Source organism: Homo sapiens, chromosome 3 (assembly GCF_000001405.40).
Source record: "Homo sapiens chromosome 3, GRCh38.p14 Primary Assembly".
Lineage (NCBI taxonomy): Eukaryota > Metazoa > Chordata > Mammalia > Primates > Hominidae > Homo > Homo sapiens.
Window position 1 is genome coordinate 2,965,453 of NC_000003.12, and position 24,980 is coordinate 2,990,432.

General features: G+C 39.0%; 1 protein-coding gene and 1 pseudogene across 40 annotated transcripts in view; one reads left to right on the top strand and one right to left on the bottom strand.

Annotated features, from left to right (window-relative positions):
- CNTN4 (contactin 4) overlaps positions 1–24,980 on the top strand; it is a 959,094-nt gene that overhangs the window by 866,587 nt on the left and 67,527 nt on the right. For all 40 annotated transcript variants that reach the window (XM_017005783.2, NM_001350095.2, XM_047447536.1 and 37 more), the window contains one exon: positions 22,893–23,020. In XM_017005783.2, coding sequence (XP_016861272.1) covers positions 22,893–23,020 — 128 coding nt within the window. The remainder of the gene's footprint in view (positions 1–22,892; positions 23,021–24,980) is intronic.
- DNAJC19P4 (DnaJ heat shock protein family (Hsp40) member C19 pseudogene 4) lies at positions 19,779–20,123 on the bottom strand (annotated as a pseudogene).

Consider the following 24,980-nt stretch of genomic DNA (forward strand, 5'->3'; position numbering starts at 1 on the left):
GTGACCAACGCAACTGAGGAAGAGAAATTTTAATTTTCCTTAATTTTAACGTTAAGTTTAAGTAGCCACATTTGCTTAGCCATCTCTTGGACAGCATGTGCCTGGATCCTTGCAGGAACTTTTCTGCCTGGTTTCCGCTGGCTTCTTCTTATATCTAAATTGATTTTCCTCATTCATTCACCAGCATGATCTTTCCAAAATGTAAATCTGATGATATCACTCCCATGCCTTAAGTTCTTATCCTGGGATAAAGTCTTTGCTTCCTATGTGACTGGCAAGGGTCTTTGTGACCTGACCCCTTTCTGAACCCACCAGCCCCGCTTTCTGCCTCACAGTTAATGCTCTGACAATGAGCTACCACCTTTTCTGCATGTCGTCCCCTGTATGTATCTAACTCCTACATATCCCTTAAGAATCAGTTCATCTCCATGAAAAATTATCATTGATTCATCCCCACCCAGGACCTCTACTATGTTTTCAGGATACTCTATAGATACATATATCATTTCAGGGAACCACATTATTTTATCTGTCTCATATTTATTGGTGGTGATAGTGGAAATTCACCAGACTGTGAATTTCCTAAAGGGAAGGGTTATTTCCAATTCATCTTTATTGACTGAGACACTACCATAGGTAGTGAGCACTACTAGCCATTGAATGAATGGGAGATGAAAAGAAGGAGAGATGGAAGAAAGGAAAGGGGGATTAAACCAGCTAGTATCAAATTTTAAAAATAAATATTGGCTGTTAACTGTTCGGGAATCTCAATTTTTCAGTTAACTTTATTTTTTTTTACAGTTGATAGCTAGTATAAATCTCAGTTAGACATATTTGGATTTTTGGAGGACTAGTGGATAGGTTTCCTATAAACAATTGATCATTTGAATTTAGTTTCAGTTGTACAAAATAAAAGGCATTCAGGCACTGAAAGACAAATTTTGCACGTTCTCACCCACATGTAGAAGCTAAAAATTAAAACAATTGAACTCGTGGAGACAGAAAGTAGAATAACAATTACCAGAAGGAGGGAGGGGTGGAAAAGGGGTGATAGTTAATGGATACGAAAATGTAGTTAGACAGGATGAAGAAAATCTATCATTCAATAACACAATGGGGTGACTATAATCAACAATAATTTATTGTATATTTTGAAATAACTAAAAGCACAAAATTTGAATGTTCCTAATACAAAGAAATGATAAATGAGGTTATGGATACCCCACTTACCCTGATGGGATCATTACACATTATATGCCTGTATCAAAATGTCACATGTATCCCATAAATATATATGCCTATTATGTACCCATAGTAATTAAATATACATTTTTAATGAAGAAAGAATAAATAAAAGGCATTGTATCTTCTCTACATAGACAGATTATTTTAATCAGCCAAATTATATTTCCTTTTGCTAAAATGTCTGAGCTTTGACTATATTGACTGGTGGACTTTTAAAGCCAGAAGACACTAAGTTCAGCCATATTGTAACTGCTCAATGGGTTCACCCTGCCTGCTGCCTAGACAGAGCAGATTTATCAAGACAGGGGAATTGCAATAGAGAAAGTATAATTCACTCAGAGCTGGCTATGTAGGAGACAGGAGTTTTACTATTACTCAAATCATTCTCCCTGAGCATTGGGGGATCAGAGTTTTTAAGGATAATTTGGTGGGTTGGTGGGGAGCAGGGGGCAGTGAGTCAGGAGTTCTGATTGGTTGAGTTGGAGATGAACACATAGGAAGTCGTAGCTGTCTTCTTGCACTGAGTCAGTTCCTGGGTGGGGGCTGTAAAATCAGATGAGCCAGTTTATTGATCTGGGTGGACCCAGCTGATCCACTGAGTACAGGGTGTGCAAAATATCTCAAGCACTGGTCTTAGATTTTACAATAGTGATATTATCCCCAAGAGCAGTTTGGGGAGGGAAGAATCTTGTAGCCTCTGGCCTCACGACTCCTAAACCATAATTTCTAATCTTTTGGCTAATTTGTTAGCCTACAAATTAGCTGGGGTCTAATCCCCAGGCAAGAATGGGGTTTCTTATGGGAAAGGGCTGTTATTGTCTTTGTTTTAAACTATAAACTATAAACTGAGTTCCTCCCAAACTTAGTTTCCATCCCAATGCCCAGGAGTGAACAAGGACAGCTTGGAGGTTAGAAGCAAGATGGAGCTGTTTAGGTCAGATCGCTTTTCACTGTCTCAGTTATAATTTTGCAATGGCAGTTTCCATATCATTTTTCAGAGGAAAAAACTATACAACTTACCCATGATTAATCAGTAAGTTAGTGGTGAATTCAGTAGAAACTGGTGTGTATATGAACACATTCTTGAAGTCTAAATCTGGAAAGAAAGGCATTTTGTTTTTCAAATACCTACTTCAGAGGAGTTTTGTTTGCTTTTTTTTTTTTTTTTAATGACAATGATTTTGGTTGAGATTTTACTTAAAACAAAAGTTACAAAGTTGTGCCGCCTTTGGTACTTCATGCTGTGCCAGTTAACAGTGGGGTGGGTCATCTGTCTATGAACCATGACCATTTTCAGTTGAAAGTTAGGGAAGTCTGCCTTATCTCAAAAGCCCTTGCCTTCAGGCTTCTGTTCAGATGGTATCAGCTGGAACAAATAAGCTGAGATTGCATTTGCTGTTTTTTGTGCTAATCTCAAGAACATTCCAAAAATGGTTTGTCAGCAGCTGAACTGAGCACAGAATCTGTGGGCATGACCATATTTCTCCTCACAAGAAAAATCACTTTTTAAGTTTCTTGGAAGTTGATTACAATGTGCTTTTTGCTCCCTCTTCAAAAGTAAGATAAGTATCGGAATCTGTCATTTTCTGCTTTGGATGTATGCCTAAACAGCCAAAGAAGCGCATCAAAACCAAGGAAAAAAATGTGGAAAGGCCAACCTAAATGTATATAGGGTATAGTCCATCCACAGACTATAGCTACACAGACAAAGTGAGGTGAAGAACTTGGCAGTTATCTGAGGGATTTTCCCAGTTTGGTTGATGCACTCGACCATCCAGAGTTCCTCTTGTTAAGTAACTTTTTGTCTGAATTTTCTGAAAAACAGAAATAGCACTAAAGATGAATCCTGAACTCTGAATAATTGTATTGTAAGTCAGAAAAAACTTTTTGTGATCAGCCACTAAAAGGGAAGTCACAAGAAGAGTCCACCACTACTACCACCACCACCACCACCAGAGCAAACTTGTTTACAGCCTCTCTGAGTCATTACTGTGCTAGGTTTTGAACACAGAGAGCAAAAGGACTATATTGCATGAGCTTATAGACTGGTGAGGAGACAAACAAGGAGGTGGACAGTTATAATCAGGATGGGCACCCATGTTGACCCCCTTCTTCTGGTGTTTCAGCCATTTGATGCATCATCTATGGACACACAGATGTTTCCTCTGTATACACTGTCTCACAAGTGACACTGTGTATTCATCACCACTCTTCAGGTTGCAAATGACTGAAATCCAACCCAAACTGGCTTATGAGGCATTTTTGACAACTTTATTGAAGTATAATTTACATTCCATAAAATTCACTCATTTTAAGTGTACAACGCAATGATTTTTAGTAAATTGTACTAAGTTTTGCAACTATCACCATCATCTCATTCTACATTATTTTCATAATATTTCAAAGGGAATCTGCTGACTCACGTATCTGAAAATTTCAGGGTTTGCTGTATGTGCTAAGGGAATATCATCAAGACTTCATTTTTGTTGGTTTCATTCTTAGCCAATCTATTCCCTGGTGAAACGACAAATGACCCCTAGCGGATTATCTACCACCTTAGTAACCCCAGCAGAAAACATATACCTCTTTTCCAGTTGTTGGAACAAATGTCTTAGGATGACACACATTTATCCTGATTGGTCTAGGCTAGGTCAGGTGTCCACTCCTGAACCAATCGCTTTAACCAGGAGTGTGTGATGCTCTATCTTTGGCCATGTCTGTGTCACATGAACACCCCAGCAGCCAGAGAATGGTGTTACAGCCACCCAAAGTACATGGTCTGAAAGTGGGGAGACATGATTTCCCAAAGGAAAATTGGGATTATTATTATTATTATTATTATTCCTAGACAAAGAGAAATGGATGCTGTGCAGGCAATACAGTAGATGTCCAATCCACAGGAAAATTGTGATCAGAGTGACGTTGCTTCTTCCCTTTTGAATCCCCTGTAGTGGTTATCACACAGCCTTTTATATAGCAAGTACTCAAAAAATATCTGTGGATTGGTCATGGACAGGCTAAAACATAGAACAGACCAACAATGACAGACTTTTACTTTCTTATTTTATTGTTGGGGAAGGCTAAAAAATTAGGAGTATGATTTCAATTATTAAAGCTAATAAACTGGGGCTTATCTGAGAGGCCACATGGGAGCATGATGGTCAGAGAGCGGCTGGATGTGTGTCAGAACTCAAAAGCAGATTGCAGTCAGACTCTTCCCCTGTGTAGGCATTGAGTACGTAGATATATACACCCACACACACAGACAGTTGACCCTTGAACAACTAAGGGGTTAGGAGTACCAACCCTCTGCACAGAAAGAAATTCACATATAACTTTTGACTCCCCAAAACCTTAACTATCAATAGCATACTGTTTTTGTTGTTGTTGTTGTTTGTTGTTGTTGTTTTAAGAGAGACAGTCTTGCTCTGTCGCCCAGGCTGGAGTGCAGCAGCAGCATAATCGTAGCTCATTTTAACCTCTAACTCCTGGGCTCAAGCAATCCTCTAGCCTCACCTTCCCAAGTAATTGGGACTACAAGTGCATGCCCCCACACCCGGCCGATTCTTTCATATTTTTTGTAGAAACAGGGCCTAGCTATGTTGCCCAAGCTAGTCTCAAACTCCTAGGATCGAGTGATCTTACTGCCTCAGCTTCCCAAAGCACTAGGATTATAGGCATGAGCCACTGCACGTGGACTAATAGGCTACTATTGACTAGAATGCCTTAATGATAACACAGTTTATAAACACTTTTTTTTTTAATTGAGACAGTTTTACTCTGTTGCCCATGCTAGAGTGGTGCAGTGGCTTGATTCCAGCTCACTGCAGCCTCGACCTGCTGGGCTCAAGCAATCCTGCCACCTCAGCCTCCCGGGTGGTTGGGACTACAGGCGCACATCACTACACCTGGCTAATTTTTGTATTTTTTGCATAGATGGGGTTTCACAATGTGCCCAGGCTGGTCTCAAACACCTGGGCTCAACTAATCCACCCACCTCAGTCTCTCAAAGTGCTGCGATTGCAAGCATGAACCACCATGCCCAGCCAATTAACACATATTTTGTATGTTATATGGATCATGTACTGTATTCTTTATTATTTTTTTTGAGACCGATTCTCACTCTGTTGCCCAGGCTGGAGTGCAGTGGCGTGATCCCAGCTCACTGCAACCTCCGCCTCCTGGGTTCAAGTGATTCTCCTGACTCAGCCCCCCGAGTAGCTGAGATTACAGGTGCCCGCCACCATGCCCAGTTAATTTTGCATTTTTCATAAAGACAGGGTTTCACCATGTTAGCCAGGCTGGTCTCAAACTCCTGACCTCAGGTGATCTGCCCATCTCGGCCTCCCAAAGTGCTGGGATTACAGGCCTGAGCCAGCACACCCAGCCTACGCTGTATTCTTACAATAAAGAAAATAAAATGTTATTAAGAAAATTATAAGGAAGAGAAGAATATATTGACTGTTTATTAAGTGGAAGTGCATCATCATACAGGTCCTTATCCTCATCCTCTTCAAGTTGAGTAGGCTGAGGTGGAAGAAAATGTGTGTATTAGTGGACTTGCACAGTTCAGACCCGTGTATTTCAATCCCGTGTTGTTCAAGGGTCAACTGTATATCTATCTATCTATATCTATATCTGTCTGTCTGTCTGTCTATCTATCTATCTATCTATATATATATATATTTGGCCTTTCTTATTGCTCTTTCATCAGAAGAGTAATGCTAGTGAATGATCTGGAATTCAGTGGTATACCATAAGCTGGCAAGAAACCTGGCAAATTGTAATTTATATTCACAAAACATTTTTTTCAAACTATGCAAATCTTTACATCTAACAGAAAAACAATAAGCAGAATTCTAGAACCTTTGGAATAAATAATTCAGTACCAATAGATACATTAAAGTATATTGTTTATAGAAAGGATCAGAGTTGAAAATTGTTAAGGAACAACCTGTATTTTAAAAGTAAATTTTATACCATTTTTCCTAAAAGGAATATGGTTCACAGCAAATTTCAGATCCATAAAAACTTTATCTTCTAGTGACTTTTAAGATTCTCTTTCTTGACAGGAACTTCAAGAATGGCAAGATATTTCTTTCTTCCACTTAACTGCAATGTGACTATGAAGATGCTGTAAACATTTGCAAATTAGGTTGTAAATAGCAGCAATGAAAGCATTAACTCTCATAGCCACATTTTCGGAAGTGCACTTTACATTATGTGGAGATAGGTATTAAGAAATAAACCTGAATGCTTATATAAAAATTATGCTGGAGATAGGTATTCAGAAATAAACCTGAATGCTTATATAAAAATCCAGCCTCCTATTTTCCAAGCACAGTGGTATAATTACAGCTCTAATTTATGGCATACTTTGTAGGATTGCTGATTAATTATACAGACCTCCTGATGTTTTATATTCTTTTCAACTTTGTTTCCCTCTGCTATGTGACCACTACAAAGCGAGTATCCCTAAATCACTTATTATTCAGGTTACCTAATTTTTAAAAAGTGAATTTGCTATTAACATCATTTTCTTATATAGCACTGTAACATTTATATGTTAAAAATTATTGTACTCCTTAATGTTGCAGCTAACTCATACACACACAGACACATACACTCACTCCTACACATACACATACAGACACACACACTCAAAGATTTTAATAAATTCCCGATATTTACCCAATGTAGACATGTCTAACAGTTCTGCATGACTTGATCTGAAATATTGAACACTTCAACAGTGCAACAAAGCATGATTCGTTAGGGATAATACTAACCAATCTCATTTTTAAACTGATTATAGGGATCCAATTTGAATAATTTGCTGCTGTGGATTATTTGGAAACAGTTGTAGCACATTTTGTTTGTTGCTCGAGGTTATCAGTGTTTTCAGAACACTATCTTCCTTTCATAGTTCTTTTGAGTTTAATAGTTATACAAAAGCCCCATTTACCAGATTTTTCAATAAATGTAGTGTGCTGATGATTACAGGAGGATTTGCCAGAAAACTCCTTTACATATACATAGTGCAATATCTTCAGATATTATCCTCTTCTTTGCTTTAAGTAGGTCAGGTTCACAATGAGCTGTTCTCCTTAAACCCCTCCCCTTCATATCCTTATCAAATTCCCTTTATCACTGTCACATCTAAATTACTATCTTCTGCTTTGCCACCAAGACATTTTTAATAGTAAGAGCTTCCTGCTCCTTTCTTAAGCTCTTCTCTTTTTCGGTCATCAACTTCCCCTTGGAATTAGGAAAAGGCCCTTGTAGATTTGGGCTATTAAATAGGAGAGGACCCATGTATCAAGTCCTTAAATGTTCTGTCATCATGAGAATTATTTATTGGAACCCATTACCTGTGCGACTTCACAGTTCTTTTTAGATGGTTTGTCTGAAAAGAATAAAGGCTCTTCGTTGAAATGAAATCGCTTTCTTTGCTACCTAGGGAAGAAAATAGTTGAGTCTAATTATTTAGAAACGAGAGGAGGATTGCTGTAAGGACTTGAGTCGATCATGGAAGTTTCTCCTATGCAAAACAGATCTGAAGGTACAGAAAACATAAAAATAATATCCCTGGGAAGAGAACACCCAGGTATTAACTTAAGCACATAGCAGGCTTTATTGAGTTTTACAGAAAAAGTAAATACAGCTGACACAACCTCGAGACTAAAATTTTTGGTGACATCTCTGTTTATCCCAGACACTGATTTCTCTATTCAGTTTTGTGATGTGGAGAGTATTCCGAAGGCCTGAAAGTGTTCAAAACCATTGTGCATAGCTTCATTTTGGGGGAGAATGTTATAATTTGCTTCTGAAAACTAAGTAATCTCTGACCTCTACCCACACATCAAGAAAGGTTAGAAATCAGTCCTAATCCCAGGAATTGTCATCAATGTCTCTAAAATTCTAAAGACTGAATGAATTTTAATCCAATAATCAACATATTTAATGTGTGCCTGTTTGTATATAAAGGACTGTATAAAATGAAAGGGAGACAGAGAGATGGATACGACCTGGGATTTGAGTTCTGGAAATCATTTGAGTAAATGGGGTGATGATATATTGAGGAAGTGTAACATCAATGCCATGTGAATAGATTGGGCAGCTTTGGAAGGTCATGAATTGGCCATTATGCGATTTGCCCAACACAGTTTATACTTATTCATACCATTGTAAGAGGAAGTTGATCATGGGAGAAAGGTTGAAATAGATGTGTGTTTCACAAGGTACAAGATTGGCACTTCTCCAAGTACTCAGATCATCTTGGATGGTACACAGTATACAGACATTAAAAAGCACTGAGCAACATAGTTCTCTTACACTCCTTCTGAGAATATCAAGGGGAAACTCATGGTTGGTCCTAGCATATCTGAACACTTTTGAAATCCTGAGTAATCCCTCTTTTACTGAAACAAAAAAAGTAGTTCCTAGGCTGAGAATCCTGGGAGACAAGTTTACCTAGCTGGAATATAATACCTTAGGTGGGTTTTTATCACATTTATTTTTATGATTACCACTATTTATGGCAAGTAGATACTGGTTTCCATGTATCATAGCAACAAGTTTCCTTTATTCTTTAATTTTGAACTTTGAAACATTTAAAAAATATTGTGACTATTGGTTATTAGAATGATACTGAAAATAATAACAGAAATGATCTTTGCAGCTAACAATGACCAGCTGTTTACCATGCACCATCACAGGCTTAAATGTTTCATGGGAATTTTTACATTTAACCTTCTCACAAAAAACCTATGAAATTCAGGTGCTTGTTAATTATGACCCCCATTTTAGAGATGGCAGTCTGGAGCCCAGAGGGGTTGAGACTCCCAAGTCACACGTCTAGCAGATAAAGAGGCAAAGATTTAGGCTGTCTTGTAGTACATCAATGTGGCCGAAATGGAGAGACGTCAGTTCAGGAAAGCTTAGAATGGATGACTGTTGGTGATGCTGAGTTTCTGTGCTTCCCAGAAGGCAAAGATGCAGCTGTTTTAGGGACAGGGAGAGACCTTGGGGATTTTAACTGGACCGTGACAGTGGTGTTCTATCATGATAGTGAATGAGCTAGTAGATTCCACTTTCATTTTCTCTCTTAGAAATATTATGAAGTTCTGGTATTAGGGGTTAAAGCAAATAAAGCATGATCCTGCCATCACCAAAGAGTTGCAAATTGGATGCATAATAAAATTAAAACATTTTTTGTTTCTGGCATGGCCAATATTGCTATTTGTCTTATAGAAACCTCTTCTCATTACTAAATTATATATTCTGTATAGTGGGCCCCCCTTTCTAATTAATAATTAATATTGTCTTCCAGGCATTTTAGTTACCAAGTGGTAAAGGAAGCTTCTGTGATTTCAACTTCAAGTTATTTTTCACATATTCTTTACTTTTGCTTCTGCTTTCAGACACATTAATAGGGACACATATTTCTCAATATTAGGAAAAGCTATTTCAACAAGTAAAATTAGAAAGCAAACAGAAAAAAAAAAGAACTATTTAATTATAACCAAAGATCTAATGGTAAATTTAAAGAAAATCTCTTAAATGTGGTTACATTTTTTACTTCTTGTTTTATTTCTTTCCTACACCCTCCAACACTGCAGGATAGCATGGTAGGAAGGGTACAGGCTCTCTAGTGAGCCCTGAGCTCAAAACTCCACTCTATTTCTTGTAAATGACATTGACTTTGGATGTTTTAATTTACTCCTCTGGATTTCATTTTTCTTAACTGAAAAATCAGGATAATGATACTCCTCAGAATTGTGCAGATTAAATGAGATAATCAATGCAAGCAGCCAACAGCACCCAATAGGATGTTGTAAGTGCTTAATAAACTTCTTAAGCATCTCCATGCGCCCAATACTCAACTTAGTATATTTACAGTTTTTCTTCTGGGTCTCTTGGTCCATTTCTGTCCACGTCTTCTTTATTTCTAATTATTTCTAGAGACAGCTGCACTTTGTTATTAAACTATTCTTTTACAAGCTACTCTGCTGTTCTGATTTTGTTATATAAAGCTTCCTGAGTGCTTTATATATTTTAATGTTTTTTTCTCATTATAAAAGTTATATTACTTATTATGATGCTTTGGTAAAAGTATATGGAAGTATAGAAAATAACAAATAATATTGCTTTAAATAATATTACTTTCCTGTCCTTACCCCCATTCATCCTCACAATGCCTTATGGAATTATGTTGAAATTGTCTCAGGTCCTAAATTCTCAGAAGAAAGGAATTCTAAATCTTATATTAGTGGAAACATGGAGATCTTGCATCAATGAAATATAGCAATTTAAGAAACAAATTTTAGGCAAAATGACATCCAAACATGTCCTTTACTTTATTTCCTTTTCCCAAAGACATGGTGTTTCTAGTGTTATATGCTTACCATGTGAATAAATAAAATCACAAAATTTTACCAGCCCAAGAAAAGCATTTCTCATGTTCATCATGCACTGTGTCACGAAGAACAATTAAAATTAACTCTGTGATCTTTAATACTCATCCAGCCCCAGGCAGAGAGTTATTGCCAGGTTATTTTAAAGGGCTTTCAAACTGTTGTTCAGAGGAAGTTAAACCTGAATCAAACCAGGTTAAACAAACACAAGTTTATTTTCTCTTTTGAGCAATGCTGCAGACAAGGGCAATAGGGTCTGAACGCAGCTTGTTCTTCAGGTGGCCTGAAATGCACAGGTTGTTCAGCAGTTTATTAAACCCAAATCTTACAACAGAAAGCAAATTATCTCTAAGGGAACTTTGTCACCAGGGTGTCTGTTCAATAGTGATGTCTATTGCCACCACAGAGACTACACGGAAAGGTCAATGACAGGTTTGCCTGAAATTACCCCGGGAGGAGGTGTCTTCCTATTGACCTACATTAAATTTGTTATCCAAAATACCTTTTTTTCCTTAAGATGGGGAGCAAAGCCATCTTCTAGAGGTCTCAATTGACTCTTTGTAAATTGCAATTACCACAAAACAATCTTTCTTTCTATAATTCAAAATAATTAATTCCTTCCCATCATGCTGAGAATTTCCACGTATCTTTTGAAATCAAGTATGTAAGCTTGGGCAAATTTCAGCTAAAAGTTAAAATACCTTTTGAATTTTATGAAAAGAGATAGGCAAGGAAATTCAAACCAAAACAAGTCTTTTTTTTTTTTTCTTTTCAGAGAAAAGTCTTGGTGTTATTTGCTATCAGGTAGGTCTATAGCATACAGCCTACCCATGCCAATTAATCTGCCAGGCTTTTCTAATTTCTCAACTGGCACAAAGCCAGAGACCCCTGTACTGTATCCGTATGTCAGCTCTTGCAGTCACAGGCTAATTCTCCTGTTGATAGGTTGAATATATGAATCTTTATCTCTGTCTCTTCATTGTCACCTCTCTACTCCTTCTACATTGTGACTATTTCTTGGGCATTGTATTCCAAAATTATGCTGTATTGCTTTTGCCTCAAGGGCAAGTAAAGACAATGCCTTTCTCATAAGCAGTTCAGCTTTCAGGCAGAACAGCTTAGAATACCATAGGTTGCCATTTTGGTGTAGATCCTCCTCTGTCTTATTTTGGTTATAATTTTAATACCAAAGTAAATATTTATCACTTGGCCAGAGTAACAAGAAAAAGATCAAATGAGAGATGTAGTTTAATCCAACCAACAAACTGGGTTAATTACAGAAGAAATTAAAATTGCAGGCAGGCCCTAATCTTTTTTTTCCTACTGGACTTTTATTCTTTGATACATTACCCATTACCACCCCCAAACTGTCTTTTATACTCCTCATTTGATTGTTATTATATCACCGAGAGAGCAATAATTGCAAGTCTCTGTTAGCTGCTGTTGGGGAAAAGGCCAAGCCTTCTACAGGCTGGAAGGAGGCTGAGCAGTGGGCATGGGAGGTGGTGCCAGGCCCACAAAAGCAGAACCCCTCCTGCGTATCACTTCCTCTGCCCCTCGTCTAAGGGCTTCAAACAAGGTCTAACAGCCCTGGGGGGTTTCCTCTCTTGATACCCGTTATGGGTTAAACAGTTTCCCTATAAAAATCATATTCACCTAGAATCTCAAAATGTGACCTTATTTGGGCCCTTTGCAGATGTAATCAAGTTAAGATGAGATCATACTGGATTGCATAGGCCCTAATCCAATGACTGATGTCCTTATGTAAGGAGAGGGAAATTTGGATACAGAGGGAAGACAATGTAAAGAGACACACATCCGCACCATGTGACGATGGAGGCAGAGATTGGAGTGATGCCTCTGCAAGACAAGGAACACCAAAAAACAAAAGGGCCAACAGCCGCCAGAAGCTGGGAGTGAACCAAAGGGTTTCTCCCGCAGAGCCTCCAGCAGCAACCAACCTGGCCAATACCTTCATGTCAGACTGCCATCCTCCACCACTGCCAGAGTATAGATCTTTATTGTTGTAAAGCGCCTAGTTTGTGGTGTGTTGCTATGGCAGCCATAGGAAACTACTACCACACCACACCCATCGTCCCCTCCCACTGCATTGCTCTGTTCTCTCTGTCCAGTATGTCTTGAGTGGAAACATTGAAGAGGGGATAGATCGTGGCCTCATAACCACAGGCTACCCTAAATCCCGGCCCCATGTACTCAGGCACATGCTGCTACTGGTTTAAAGTCAGGGTTCACAGTCTCAAAGGCCTGCAGGGGCCTGGTAGGAACATTAAAGAGAGGTTCAAGCCAGGCATAGACGGGAGCTAGAAAACCCACCATCTGCTCAAGAGGGCTGCTGCCCGTCTCCTCCAGCCTATTGGTGCCCTAAGGGGATATGTTGCCAGTATTGCCCTATCTTCCCATATGTCACAATTAGCCAGGAATGGGCTTTTATATGAAATCATACAATTATTAGATTGTTATTTTAATTGTGTAGAAAAAGCAAGCTCATCTGTGGCTGTGAAGTTCCTCTGGTCTATTAATGACAGGCTCGCTGACACGTGCCCAATTCTGTCCTGCCTTGTGATGTACGTGAGACCTTTGGTTGGGGGATGCCTGTCTAACCGCCCTCATTCTAGGGCATCGCTGATGGCCCCTGGGGTCAGCAGTCTTCCTTTCCTGGAGCCAGGCCTCCTGTGACAGCTCTGCCATCCTCCCCTCTGCCATCCTCCCAGTTTGCTTAAGCTGAGAAGTAGTCTTACCGAAATATAAGTTAGTCGCTCACCCCTTGCAGAGTTCAATTAACTGGAGTGAGGTCTGGTATAAAGAAAGCGATTTATTCCAAAGCTAGCTTGGGGAAAGAAATACAGATGTCCTGCCTTAAGTATACCACTTCACTTTTGGAACAGAAAACGGGTACTTTTCAAAGGTAGAGGAGGAAGCAAGCAAAACGTGATAGCTCTGGTGGCTTATCTACGAGGTGTTCGAGCTTGTGACTGCCGGCACCTTTGTGGACAGGACTAGGCTGCAAACTTACCAGGTGGGAAGGAGTTTCCTATCTCTTGAGGCAGTCACCTGGTAGGAGGGAGTTTTATAAAATTGAGGCAGCCTCCTGGTGGGGGAAAGTTTCTTTCTGGGGCGCCTAAGCACATAGTTAGATGAACTTGCCCGGTAGGGAGTGTCTGGTGAAGGGGAGGTAAAAGGCTATATTTGCATTTCTAAAGGGCTATGTAGGAAGTGGGGAACCAGGGGAATGAGAAGAGAAAAGAGAGAGAAAAAAATAATTAAACCATCTTAGAAAAATGGGGCTACTTGGTGACAGTAGCAGTAATTATTTTAACTATGTTTGGGATTCTGTAATAAATTTTAGCTCTTCAGGAGTTTAGCCTCCCTCGTAATGTGTAAATCTATTGTTTCACTTTCAGGCTTTCAGCTTTCAAACACGTTTTCTGGAACCAATCATGTATAAAAGAGAGTAGAAGCCTTTTAAGGCCCTTTGAGTTTTTTTTTTTTTTAATTGCACATAATTTTAAGTGAGCTATTTTATTCTTGATCTAACAATAATAAAGATGATTTAAAATTTAACATAACAGTTTGTCACTTTTTTGTGTATTTTGTTTGTTTGTTGAAAGGAAATGATCACTCCATAATTTCTTTCTTTGCAGAAGGAGAGAAGTGGTTTTCTAAGTTGTATTCTGAAGGGATTTATTTCTAAGGAAGTGTTTCAGTGTGACTTAAAGGCAAGCAAGGATACGCTGTCTCCCTCTACAGCAGTTAGGCTTCCTGCTGAACTGCTCAGAAAAATCATAGGTCTCCATTTTGGGATAATCCTCCTCTTTTGGGTGATAGAGTGAAGTTGGCAGCTTTCATCATGTGTTACTAAAGACCCCCCCAAAAGAAAAGATCAGCATTTTTAAAGGTCCTGTGTCCCCAGACTGGTTTTGATTTATAGGACTGACAATGTCAACTTTTCAATGGCTGCAACTCAGAGCCTCATGTGAAGAAAGATAGATTCAATTTATCTCCTGAGTCCAGATTTGTTCCTATCCTCTGTGGATCCAAAATCTCCAAATGACAGTGAGGGAACAACTGCTTCTCTATGCTCTAGGTAATTTACTGTGTTGTGAATTAGATGACCTCTTTTCATGTAGGGAAAATTAAGTCTTGTGTCATGTCTGTATTTGTACTACTTGCTGCTTTATCACCTTTGGCTTTTCTCTGTTGCCACCAATAATTTAAAAAGGGCCACAGGTAGGTCAGGACTAACCTGTTCTAAGCCAAGAACAGATTTACATTTTCAATTCTTTTCATCTTACTCCATCACTATTCATAAGTATTAGGAGGAGCTCAAAGTTCACTATCACCCTAATAGCTACAAGTCAGTCAGTAGTCTAAATTGAGGAAACCAAGATGAGATGGACCATAAAGGAAACTTTGAAATCTCATCCAGAAACAAACATGAAAATAAAGCTATTAAAGCGGCGCTGTTGTCTGAGGTAATACCCGACGTTTGACATCTCATGCCAAGAAAATTAAGGACACGGGCACACACAAGGAGTGAGTTTAGAGCCGAAGTTTAATAGGCAAAAGAAAGAGAAAGAACAGCTCCCTCTCCTGCAAGAGAGAGGAACATTCAAATGGGACTTCCGGCTTGTGTTGGAGTACACCAGATTTTATAGACAGGCTTGAGGAGGCGGTATCTGATTTACATGGGGCCCAAAGATTGGATAGACCAGGTGTGACGTTTACATAACTCGTGGGGAAGCTGGCTGGACCACCCTAATATTATGCAAATGAGGTCTTTGCCTGGCCAGCACCACCCTGTTGTCTGCTTCTTGCTGTACACGTGGCTGGCAAAGAGAAGGGACGATGGAGCCACTATTTTAAACATGCCTAGTCCCAGGTAGTCTTTTCCTATTGGCACAGCTGCCAGCATTCACCCATGCACGCTTCCAGCTTGCTTTGTCTATGTCTGCAGCTCGATTTTACAAGCTGCTCTTTGTTAGAAAAGAAAATGATTTAGGGGCTGCTTTTCGTTAAAAGGAAAACCTGGGCCGGGCGCGGTGGCTCACGCCTGTAGTACCAGCACTTTGGCAGGCCGAGGCAGGCAGATCACGAGGTCAGGAGATCGAGACCATCCTGGCTAACACAGTGAAACCCCGTCTCTACTAAAAATACAAAAAATTAGCCGGGCGTGGTGGCGGGCGCCTGTAGTCCCAGCTACTCGGGAGGCTGAGGCGGGAGAATGGCGTGAACCCAGGAGTTGGAGCTTGCAGTGAGCCGAGATCGCAGCACTGCACTCCAGCCTGGGCGACAGAGCGAGACTCCGTCTCAAAAAACAAAAAAAGGAAAACCTTACCGAGGACTCCCGTACCCTCACTATCTGCCTAAATAATTTCTCCTTAACTCCTGTATCACTATCCTTGGACTGGATTTAGGTACTATATTCATGAAAAAAAAAAAGAATGTAATATTAGTGGAAAAACCGTTTTTCTAAGTTGGTAGAAGATCCAAATGGAAAGGAAGAAAATATCTAAGTATTTATATTGAGTTGCATTTCAAATTTTTCCTTGAGCTAGCCAAATTTGTACCCCAAGGCCGAATGCTAGCTTTATAGCTTATTTCTGGCTTATAAAAATCCCATAAAACATTGGCCGAGTGTGGTGGCTCACTCCTGGCATCTGAGCACTTCGGGAGGCTGAGGCCCTCGGATCACTTGAGGTCAGAAGTTTCAGACCAGCCTGGCCTACATGGTGAAACCCCATCTCTACTAAAAATACAAAATATTAGCTAGACGTGGGGGTACATGCCTAGCTATCAGGGAGGCTGAGGCGAGAGAATCGCATGTACCCAGGAGTTGGAAGTTGCAGTGAGCCGAGATCGTACCACTGCACTCCAGCCTGGGTGACACAGCAAGACTCTGTCTCAAAAAACAAAAAAATCACATAAAACACATTAAAAGCAACAGGTCAAATTGTATACTTAGCCTTTATATGCAGAAAAATATAGCCAAAATTATGTGATACAGCTGTGTATGAAGAAATGTCAGGTGCTTTTTTCTTCATATTCGGAACTGTGTGGTTATTCTTCCATTATAGATAGCATTCGTCAATCTTCTACCGAAAAGTTCTATCAAGGCAGTCATCACGGAATCATCTTCAGAATCCATTCCTTCCATTCTACTTTTACTACCACCGTCACCTGAACAAGTTCAGCAATTTCTTGGAAAGATTGCACTCTTCCTGTTGTCAGGGCTGAAAACTCAATTTCTAACATCTTATATTATTGGCTTATATAACTGGGGCGTCCAAGGTGTTGACTTCCACCGTGGACAGAAATGGGCTCAAAAATGTCATAAGGTCTCTGCTTCTCTTTCTCTCTCTCTTTCTCTTGGGCTCTGTTTGTCTTTGGATGGCTTCCTTAAGGCATGCTTTCTCTATATGGTAGGCAAAATAATTGCCAACAATTCTAGATTCCCATCTTCCAAATTTAGCAATCCCAGCAGAAAGAGATTGTTTTCTCAAAGAGCTCCTGGTTTTGATGGCATGCTTCTACACCCATCACTATAGACAAGAGAATAGGGTCTCCTGACTGGCCAGGTCTGGGTCCCTGCCCATCTTTATACCTAGATAGTTTGTCAAACAGCTTTCCCATTGAAAACAGTAATGCTCATTTTACTGTGTGCTTATAGAAATGTGTATGTTATTGTATGGAACACATTGGCATTATTTCTAGATATATAATCATCAAAAGTAATGATTTATTATGAGCTTGAGAACAAAAACAATAATTTTCACATCACTAAAAAAAATAGCACAAAGCTTGCCGGGCGCAGTGGCTCACGCCTGTAATCCCAGCACTTTGGGAGGCGAGGCGGGCGGATCACGAGGTCAGGAGATCGAGACCATCCTGGCGAACACGGTGAAAACCTGTCTCTACTAAAAATACAAAAAATTAGCCGGGCATGGTGGCGGGTGCCTGTAGTCCCAGCTACTCGGGAGGCTGAGACAGGAGAATGGTATGAACCCTGGAGGTGGAGCTTGCAGTGAGCCGAGATCGCAGCACTGCACTCCAGCCTGGGTGACAGAGCGAGACTCCATCTCAAAAAAAAAAAAAAAAAAAAAAAAAAAAAAAAAAAAAAAAAAGCACAAAGCCTAATATATAGGAGGTATTTAGTAAAGAACTATGAATAAATGGGTTCAATATATCATCCCCCTTCTGTGTCTATTTGGTGTCACCCATATGCTTTGTGAGGCATCATAATGTGTTGTAGGACTTCAGAGTGGCAGAACTACTCAGCAGTTGTCTTAGTCTTAACAGAATCCTTTGTAATTGCTTGAAACAGTGGGTCCAGGAAGGCACAGAGCTTCACTTAATAGAACATGTGGCTAACTCTGGTCTATTCATGAGTGTCTCACTGACATATGCCCAAGCACCTGTCCCGCCTGGTGTATTTTACATGTCAGGCATCGTTCTAAGCACCGCACATCTTAACAACAACTCTATGAGATGTATATAGTTACTTTTATTATCCCATTTTTACAAACAAGGAAGCTGAGTTACAGAGAGATTAACTTTCCCAAAGTCACACAACTTCTAAGTAGTAGAAGCATGATTTGAGCCTAGACAGTTTAGTTCCAGAGTTTATGTTCTTAGTTACTACACTATATTGCTGTATAAAAAAGTGGTTGAGTTTCTCCAAAGAATAGTTTATCAAACTTCATATTACCCCCACATTTGGATAATAGTAAGAATAAGCGGTCACAGCAATATGTTGTGATTTAATGAAGACTACTGAAAATTACCCCTTCTACAAATGATCTCCCTCACTGTCTTTCTCTCATCTGGAATTCTAACAGTTAGGGTCTTACCTCTCTTACTTACCTCTTTGCAAATAACAGTGGGAGAGTTGAGACCCTAAACCAATATCAGGCACTGAAATATTTAAAATGAATAGTATAATAGTTTATAAAAATTATTTTGTAATTTCACAAGGCCCATAGGAAATTGGATAGGGAAACTCTGAGGACAAGGGGCAAAGAGAGCCTTCTACTACGACTGTGAAAAGCTAGCTGGCTTTTATGCAATGCAGATACCAAAAGCAGGAAGCAGGATGGAAATGATGGTGGGGAAAACATTTGAAGAGTGTGAAGCACTTTAAGTTAACGAAATTTTCACCTATCTTATCTCATTATAGAAGAAGGGATTTTAAAAACTGAATTAGACCAGCAGTTCTCAAATGGGGTGATTTTGACCCCCAGGGTATCTTTGACAATCTCTGGAGACATTTTTGATTGTCATGACGTGGGGAAGGGTTAGAGCTATGGGAGTCCAGTGGGTATAGGCCAGGGATGGTGCCCATTATCCCCCCCAGGACAAAGAATTGTTCAGTCCAAAATGTCGTCAGTGCCAAGGTTGGGAAACTCTGTCTCAGAGCTTGCATAAGTAACTTGGCTATGCCATATACTTGACAAGTTTCAGAGTCAAGGCTAGAATCCAAGTAATCTGATGACAAGTCCTTTGCTTGTTTCCGTATTCATTTCCTTCAGCATGTCAGAGTTTGATACAGGCGATGGCTTTAGGTTTTTGGAATGATCGTGATACTGTTTTTAATGGTATAAGTTATTAATAGGTGTTTTTGCTTTTAAAGAGTCATCTCACCCCTCAGAATGTTTAATATGCTCCAAGCCAGTGTTACCTCATGAAAGATAAGTCTGTACATAAAACACAAATGTCACCTTACATATTGAATTCTCATATGCCAGTGTTTCACAATTTCTAGCAAATTATTTTATAAATGGAATGTGACTAACTCCTTTAAAGCTATTTTTGTTATTATTGAGGTAATTAAGATTTGTTCACCACTCTGTTTTTGTCAGTGCATCTGCTCCTTGGCAAATGAGGTATCAGATGGTCTTTACTGAGCAACTGTTATATGCGTAGCTGTGATGTGAATGAACAAAAGGCCTTCTTGTCTGTGTCTTTTTTTTAGCCAGAGCTTGGATTTAGCTTACGCTAAATTATTTTTTTAATTGTAGATTTGAGATGTTTTATTATGAGAAGTTGGTAATCATCTGTGTAAACTAATAAGAACTGAAAATTCATCATACATTTACTTATTTTTTTACCTTGATCTTCTAGTAAATGTTTAGCTTCATAGATTTAGGCTGCTATGTAAGAACATTCTCCTTTATCTGAGTGATGTGATTTAACAGAGTAATTTGTTTATGAGCATCTCTTATTCTTTCTTTATTGGCAGGAGGACTTGCACCTCTGCTTCTCATTTTGTCACTTTGGGTTCAGACACCTCTGTAATAGCCATCACTGGGGGCAGATTTCAGTAGACTTTGAAAAACTTGTTTTCCCTGAGGCTCCATATGCTTCCTGGTTTGCAAAATATAATGACCCGCAAATCCTTCAACAACAGCAATGGTTAGGCCTAGCAGTTACCACCTCACTGGCCATGGCTCCAGCTCGGCTCCCTTGCCTCCACCAGAAGCATGGGTCACCCCAGCCCAAAGGCCAAGACCTCCAACGCCAGGCCTCTACCAGAAAGCAACATAGGCACCGCCAGCAGGTACAAACTGCCCAACCACAGGTGCCCTTGTGCCTTGTCTGCCTCTTGTACCTTGATTCGGGATGACTCAGTTAATTTGCATATTGATTTCAAATTGTCAGAAGTAACAGTCAAAATACAAACAGAAGGCAGAAGGCTGATGTAATTACTATATTAAAAGAAAATATATTAAAATGATGTTGTCCAATTTTTCCTATATATACAAATGACCAAATAAGAGAATACTTTTTTTTTTTTTTTTTTTCGAGACAGGGTCTCGCTCTGTCTCCTAGGCTGGAGTGTAGTGGTGCCATCTCGGCTCACTGCAACCTCCACCTCCTAGATTCAAGCCATCCTCCCACCTCAGCCCCCCAAGTAGCTGGGACTATAGGCTCAAGCCAGCACACCTGGCTAATTTTTGTGTTTTTTGTAGAGACAGGGTTTTGCCATGTTGCCCAGACTGGTCTCAAACTCCTGAGCTCAAGTGATCCTCCTGCCTCAGCCCCCTAAAGTGCTAGAATTACAGGCATGAGCCGCCACACCCAGCCTCGCAAACACAATTTTAAAGATGAAAGAGAACCACTGCCTAGTAAATATCAGGAAACCTCTAGGAACCTTACTGACCCTATCTTACCTAATTCTTGCTATCAATCTATAAGATGGACATTGTTAGTTCTGTTTCATAGAAGAGGAAGTAAAAACTGAGAAAGTTAAGTAAGTTGTCTTTAGTGGTACAGCTAGAACCCACAGCTCTGGAATGTGAACTCCCATCCCTCTGATTCCAAAATTCTTTGTAGAATTCTTCCACCTTCATACCCTCTCATCAGACTGAGTCATAGATCTGGACCGGGTCTTCAGGAAGACTGTAGCTTCTCCATCTGTAAGAGCCTTCAAAAAAGTATATGCAGCATTTGCAACCCAGCGCATTTACATCTTCACCTGTGTTTTTATAATGCTTGCTCAAAAGTTCTATGAAGTGAGGCTCTGCCCATCCTAGACCCCTGTTTCAGATATTTGAAAGGACTCTGTTAAGTATAGCACTAGTGCCAAGTGGTTCAACCACTCTGAATTCCTACAACGTATTACCGATTTTTCCCTTAGGTTATTTATTTATTCATGTATTTACTCGGCCACTTAAGAAATATTTCTAGTATCCACTACACGCCATCCTGTGTACTAGACCCAGGAGGTTCAGTCGTAAGACAGACACCATCCCTTCCCTCAGAGATGCTACCATTCCATGTGATAAGACAACTAAGAAGCAAACAAATAAAATTTCCTGATTGAATTTAGTGGGAAGAAATAAAGTGGCTGCAGGAAAACAGGGAGACAGGGAGAACCACCGTAAACAGTGAGTTGGGAGAGATCTATCAGGAAAAGCTACCTCTACACTGAGATCCTGAAGGTGAGAAGGTGACAGCTATGTCCAGATACAGGGAAATGTGTTCAAAGCAAGCAGAAGAGCAAGTGCAAAGGCCCTGAAGTGGGAAGGATTTCAAATACTCTGGAATATGCAGAAGGCCAGTGTGACTAGAGTTCATCGAAGGGTAGAAAGATTAGAACAAAACAGTAAGCAAGAGAGGCTTTTTAAAAAGCTAGATCCATTAGGCTTCATAATAAGGCTCCAGCAAGAAATTTTTTCAGAATGCAATGGCAGAGCCAAGGATATAGCTTTAAGCCAGGAGAGTGATATAATCGGATTTAAATTTTAAAAGATCATCTGGCCACTGACTGAAGAATGGATTTGAGGGACAAGGGTAGAAATAGGCAGGCCAATTAGGAGGCTGTTTTGATAGACTAGGTGAGAAGGAGGGCGTGAAAGGGATGGAAAGATGTGAGCAGATCTGAAATAAAAGAGAAATTTAACAGACATTTACCTTGAGTGAGCTATCTGTGTACATTTTTTACTTCTCTGACAAGCCTCTAAGCCAAGCTGTGTGTCTTATTCATCTTTGTATTTTCCTACTTCTCTTCTGGTAGTCATGATGAAAACAGAGTTCTTCAAAATTCTTCCTCTTCCAGATTTTGCATCTGTCAACAAAAACATTTTCTTCCCTGCAGAAAGTAGATGTTTGTCTCTAATTGTGGGGCCTGAGGTTTGCCATCCACATTTGCTCTTCTGCCAAAGTCACGCTGAGTCGTGGAATATTTTAATTTTTTTTAAGTTCAGTTTTTACATCTCATTAAAAATGTGTTGGCTGACATATTTCAGAAATAAATATGCTTAATAATACCTCATTTAATTTAAGGCTCTCATTTAGAAAAAAACACTTTCAATGAAAAGACTTAAATTGATTAATCAAGGGATTTTTTCGTATTCCTTATTAGCAGTTATAAGACTAATGGTGATCTACCGTAAGCCTTCCCTTTGCCTAATGTGGTTAGAGCTACCAAAGAGAAATCGTTACAACCTGTCTAATATTTATAATGGCTATTCCAACTGACTGTTGAGACCATTTTAGCAAGAAAAGAATTAAAAACACTAAACAAGTCACATGTCTCAATTATGTTTATGTATATGTGGACAAATACCCTAAATAAAGATGAGGCTGTCATCTTTACTACAAATAATGTAGCAATGATTTATGGTTTGAACAATGACAGAATGACAGAACTAATTTGCAATAGGTCATATGAGATAAATTTCACCATTTTTGGTTCATTTACTTTGATTTCAGAATTACCATTTCTGAAGATGGAAACCTCAGAATCATCAACGTTACTAAATCAGACGCTGGGAGTTATACCTGTATAGCCACTAACCATTTTGGAACTGCTAGCAGTACTGGAAACTTGGTAGTGAAAGGTAATGGCTAACCCAAAGAATTCGAATATTTATATATGTGTCCTCGTGTCTAATAATGTAATCTACCGAAGTGGCATCATTCATATTAATATGTACAGATACCACTGTATTGCTAAATTAATTCATCACGGCAAACATGATATGATTAATAATTCTTAGAAAACTGCTGGTAATGAATATGATTGAAAGGCTATCTTATTTCAGAATCATCCAATACAATTTTGAGAATTATAGCCATTGTATCTCTTATAGTATTGTAACGAATGTTATCTTCAATCCTTTAATTAAATTTCTTTCAAGTCTCTATAGATTTGAAATTCATGTCTAGGAACACTATTCCAACAAATTAAAAACTCAAGACTCATGTACTATTTTTAGAAAACATTGTTTAAACAATGACATTGGTAATTTTTAAGATAGCTGTCCCATTTATTCAGAGATATGGATATGGCTTATTATACTAATAGAAGGCTTTGATCACCTCTATGCTTTGCCTTAGTCACCCAGCCAACCTTGTCAGTTTTAAGGAAATAAAATTCCCATATACCATAGCCTGGGTGCTTTATAATTTTTGTAGCAGAAAGTCCTTTATGCTCTTAGCAAAGCACGTGAGTGAAACTATTTCAATATTAGCTTCATGGCATGGGCTGGAAGTGCTAAGTAACCATTGAAAAGGAGAAAATCTTAATTTACATTTCATTTGCATTTCTTTCACTTTATATATTGCCCTGTCATAGGATTTTTGAGTTGAAGGGATCTTGACAATGATTTGACTGAAGAAGATGAGGCTCAGGTTGGTGGTTCTCTCAAGGTCACGAGTAGCAGGAGACCTGAACCCAGATCCTGATTCTGAGTTCTTCTTGGTCCTTTATGCTGCACCAGGAAACAGGAAGCCTTTCCTGTTTCTGAGTAATTTATACAGATGGGTCATATCATATTATTTCCTTCTTGCCCATTTGTAGTTCCCTTGGTGAAGACAGATGAAGGCAAATAAAAATATCAAAAAAAACAATTTGCCTTTAATTTAAAGAAGAAAGCTAAAAATTACCTAATTAAATATTTTAGGGTCATTAGAAGTTGGAAATGTACTACTCTTTTGGGAAGTCTTTTTATCATTAACATACTTGACCATGCAGATAGAAAATTGGAAGTCCAAGAGTTAGAACTAAATATATGTTTAGATTGATTACAACTATTTCAGTCTATTAATTACTTCCTCAGAGCACTAGCATCAGTGTATGACTGACTGCTTGTTCACTCTGTTTCATAGGCAAAGGAAAAAGAGGTTAGATAATATTTGTAAAGTGCAGTTCTAGCTAGAGGTTTTTGCTAATGTATGACTGTCTTGGCTAAAGGAAGTTTAGTAATCATTTAGGACCAAGAGAGATCTCAATGTTTCAGAGCTGGTTAGACACAGAGCTGGGATCTGTTATAGATTATTTGTGAATTATGGAGATATAAGAGAATATTAGGTTGACATCTTAAATCATAGTTAAAAGACAGGGATTCAAGTCAGAGTGATCTGGATTTGAGTCTCATTTCTACCACTTACCAGCTCTTAGACAAGACACTTAGCCTGTGTGGGGATAATAGCAGTGCCAGTCTCATGGAGTCGCTTTGATAACTGTGAAAATCCATGTTAAGTGATTAGTGTGGTGCCTGGCACCTAGGAAATATTAATAGTTGTTTTGTTTATAAACATGTTTTCATAAAATGAGGTTGTTCTGATGACTGTGGTAATCCATGCTAAGCGATTAACAGGGTGTCTGGCACCTAAGAAATATTAGTATTTGTTTTGTTGTTTATATATTTTCAAATGGATATGCGTGTATTCTAAATCCTGTTGAAATGAACATTTATGATATTTCCACCCCAATAGAATAATTAGCATAGAGAAGTGAGCCTATAATAAAGAAATGACTAAGAATATGAAAGATTCAAAACAGCTAAGCATAGAAAC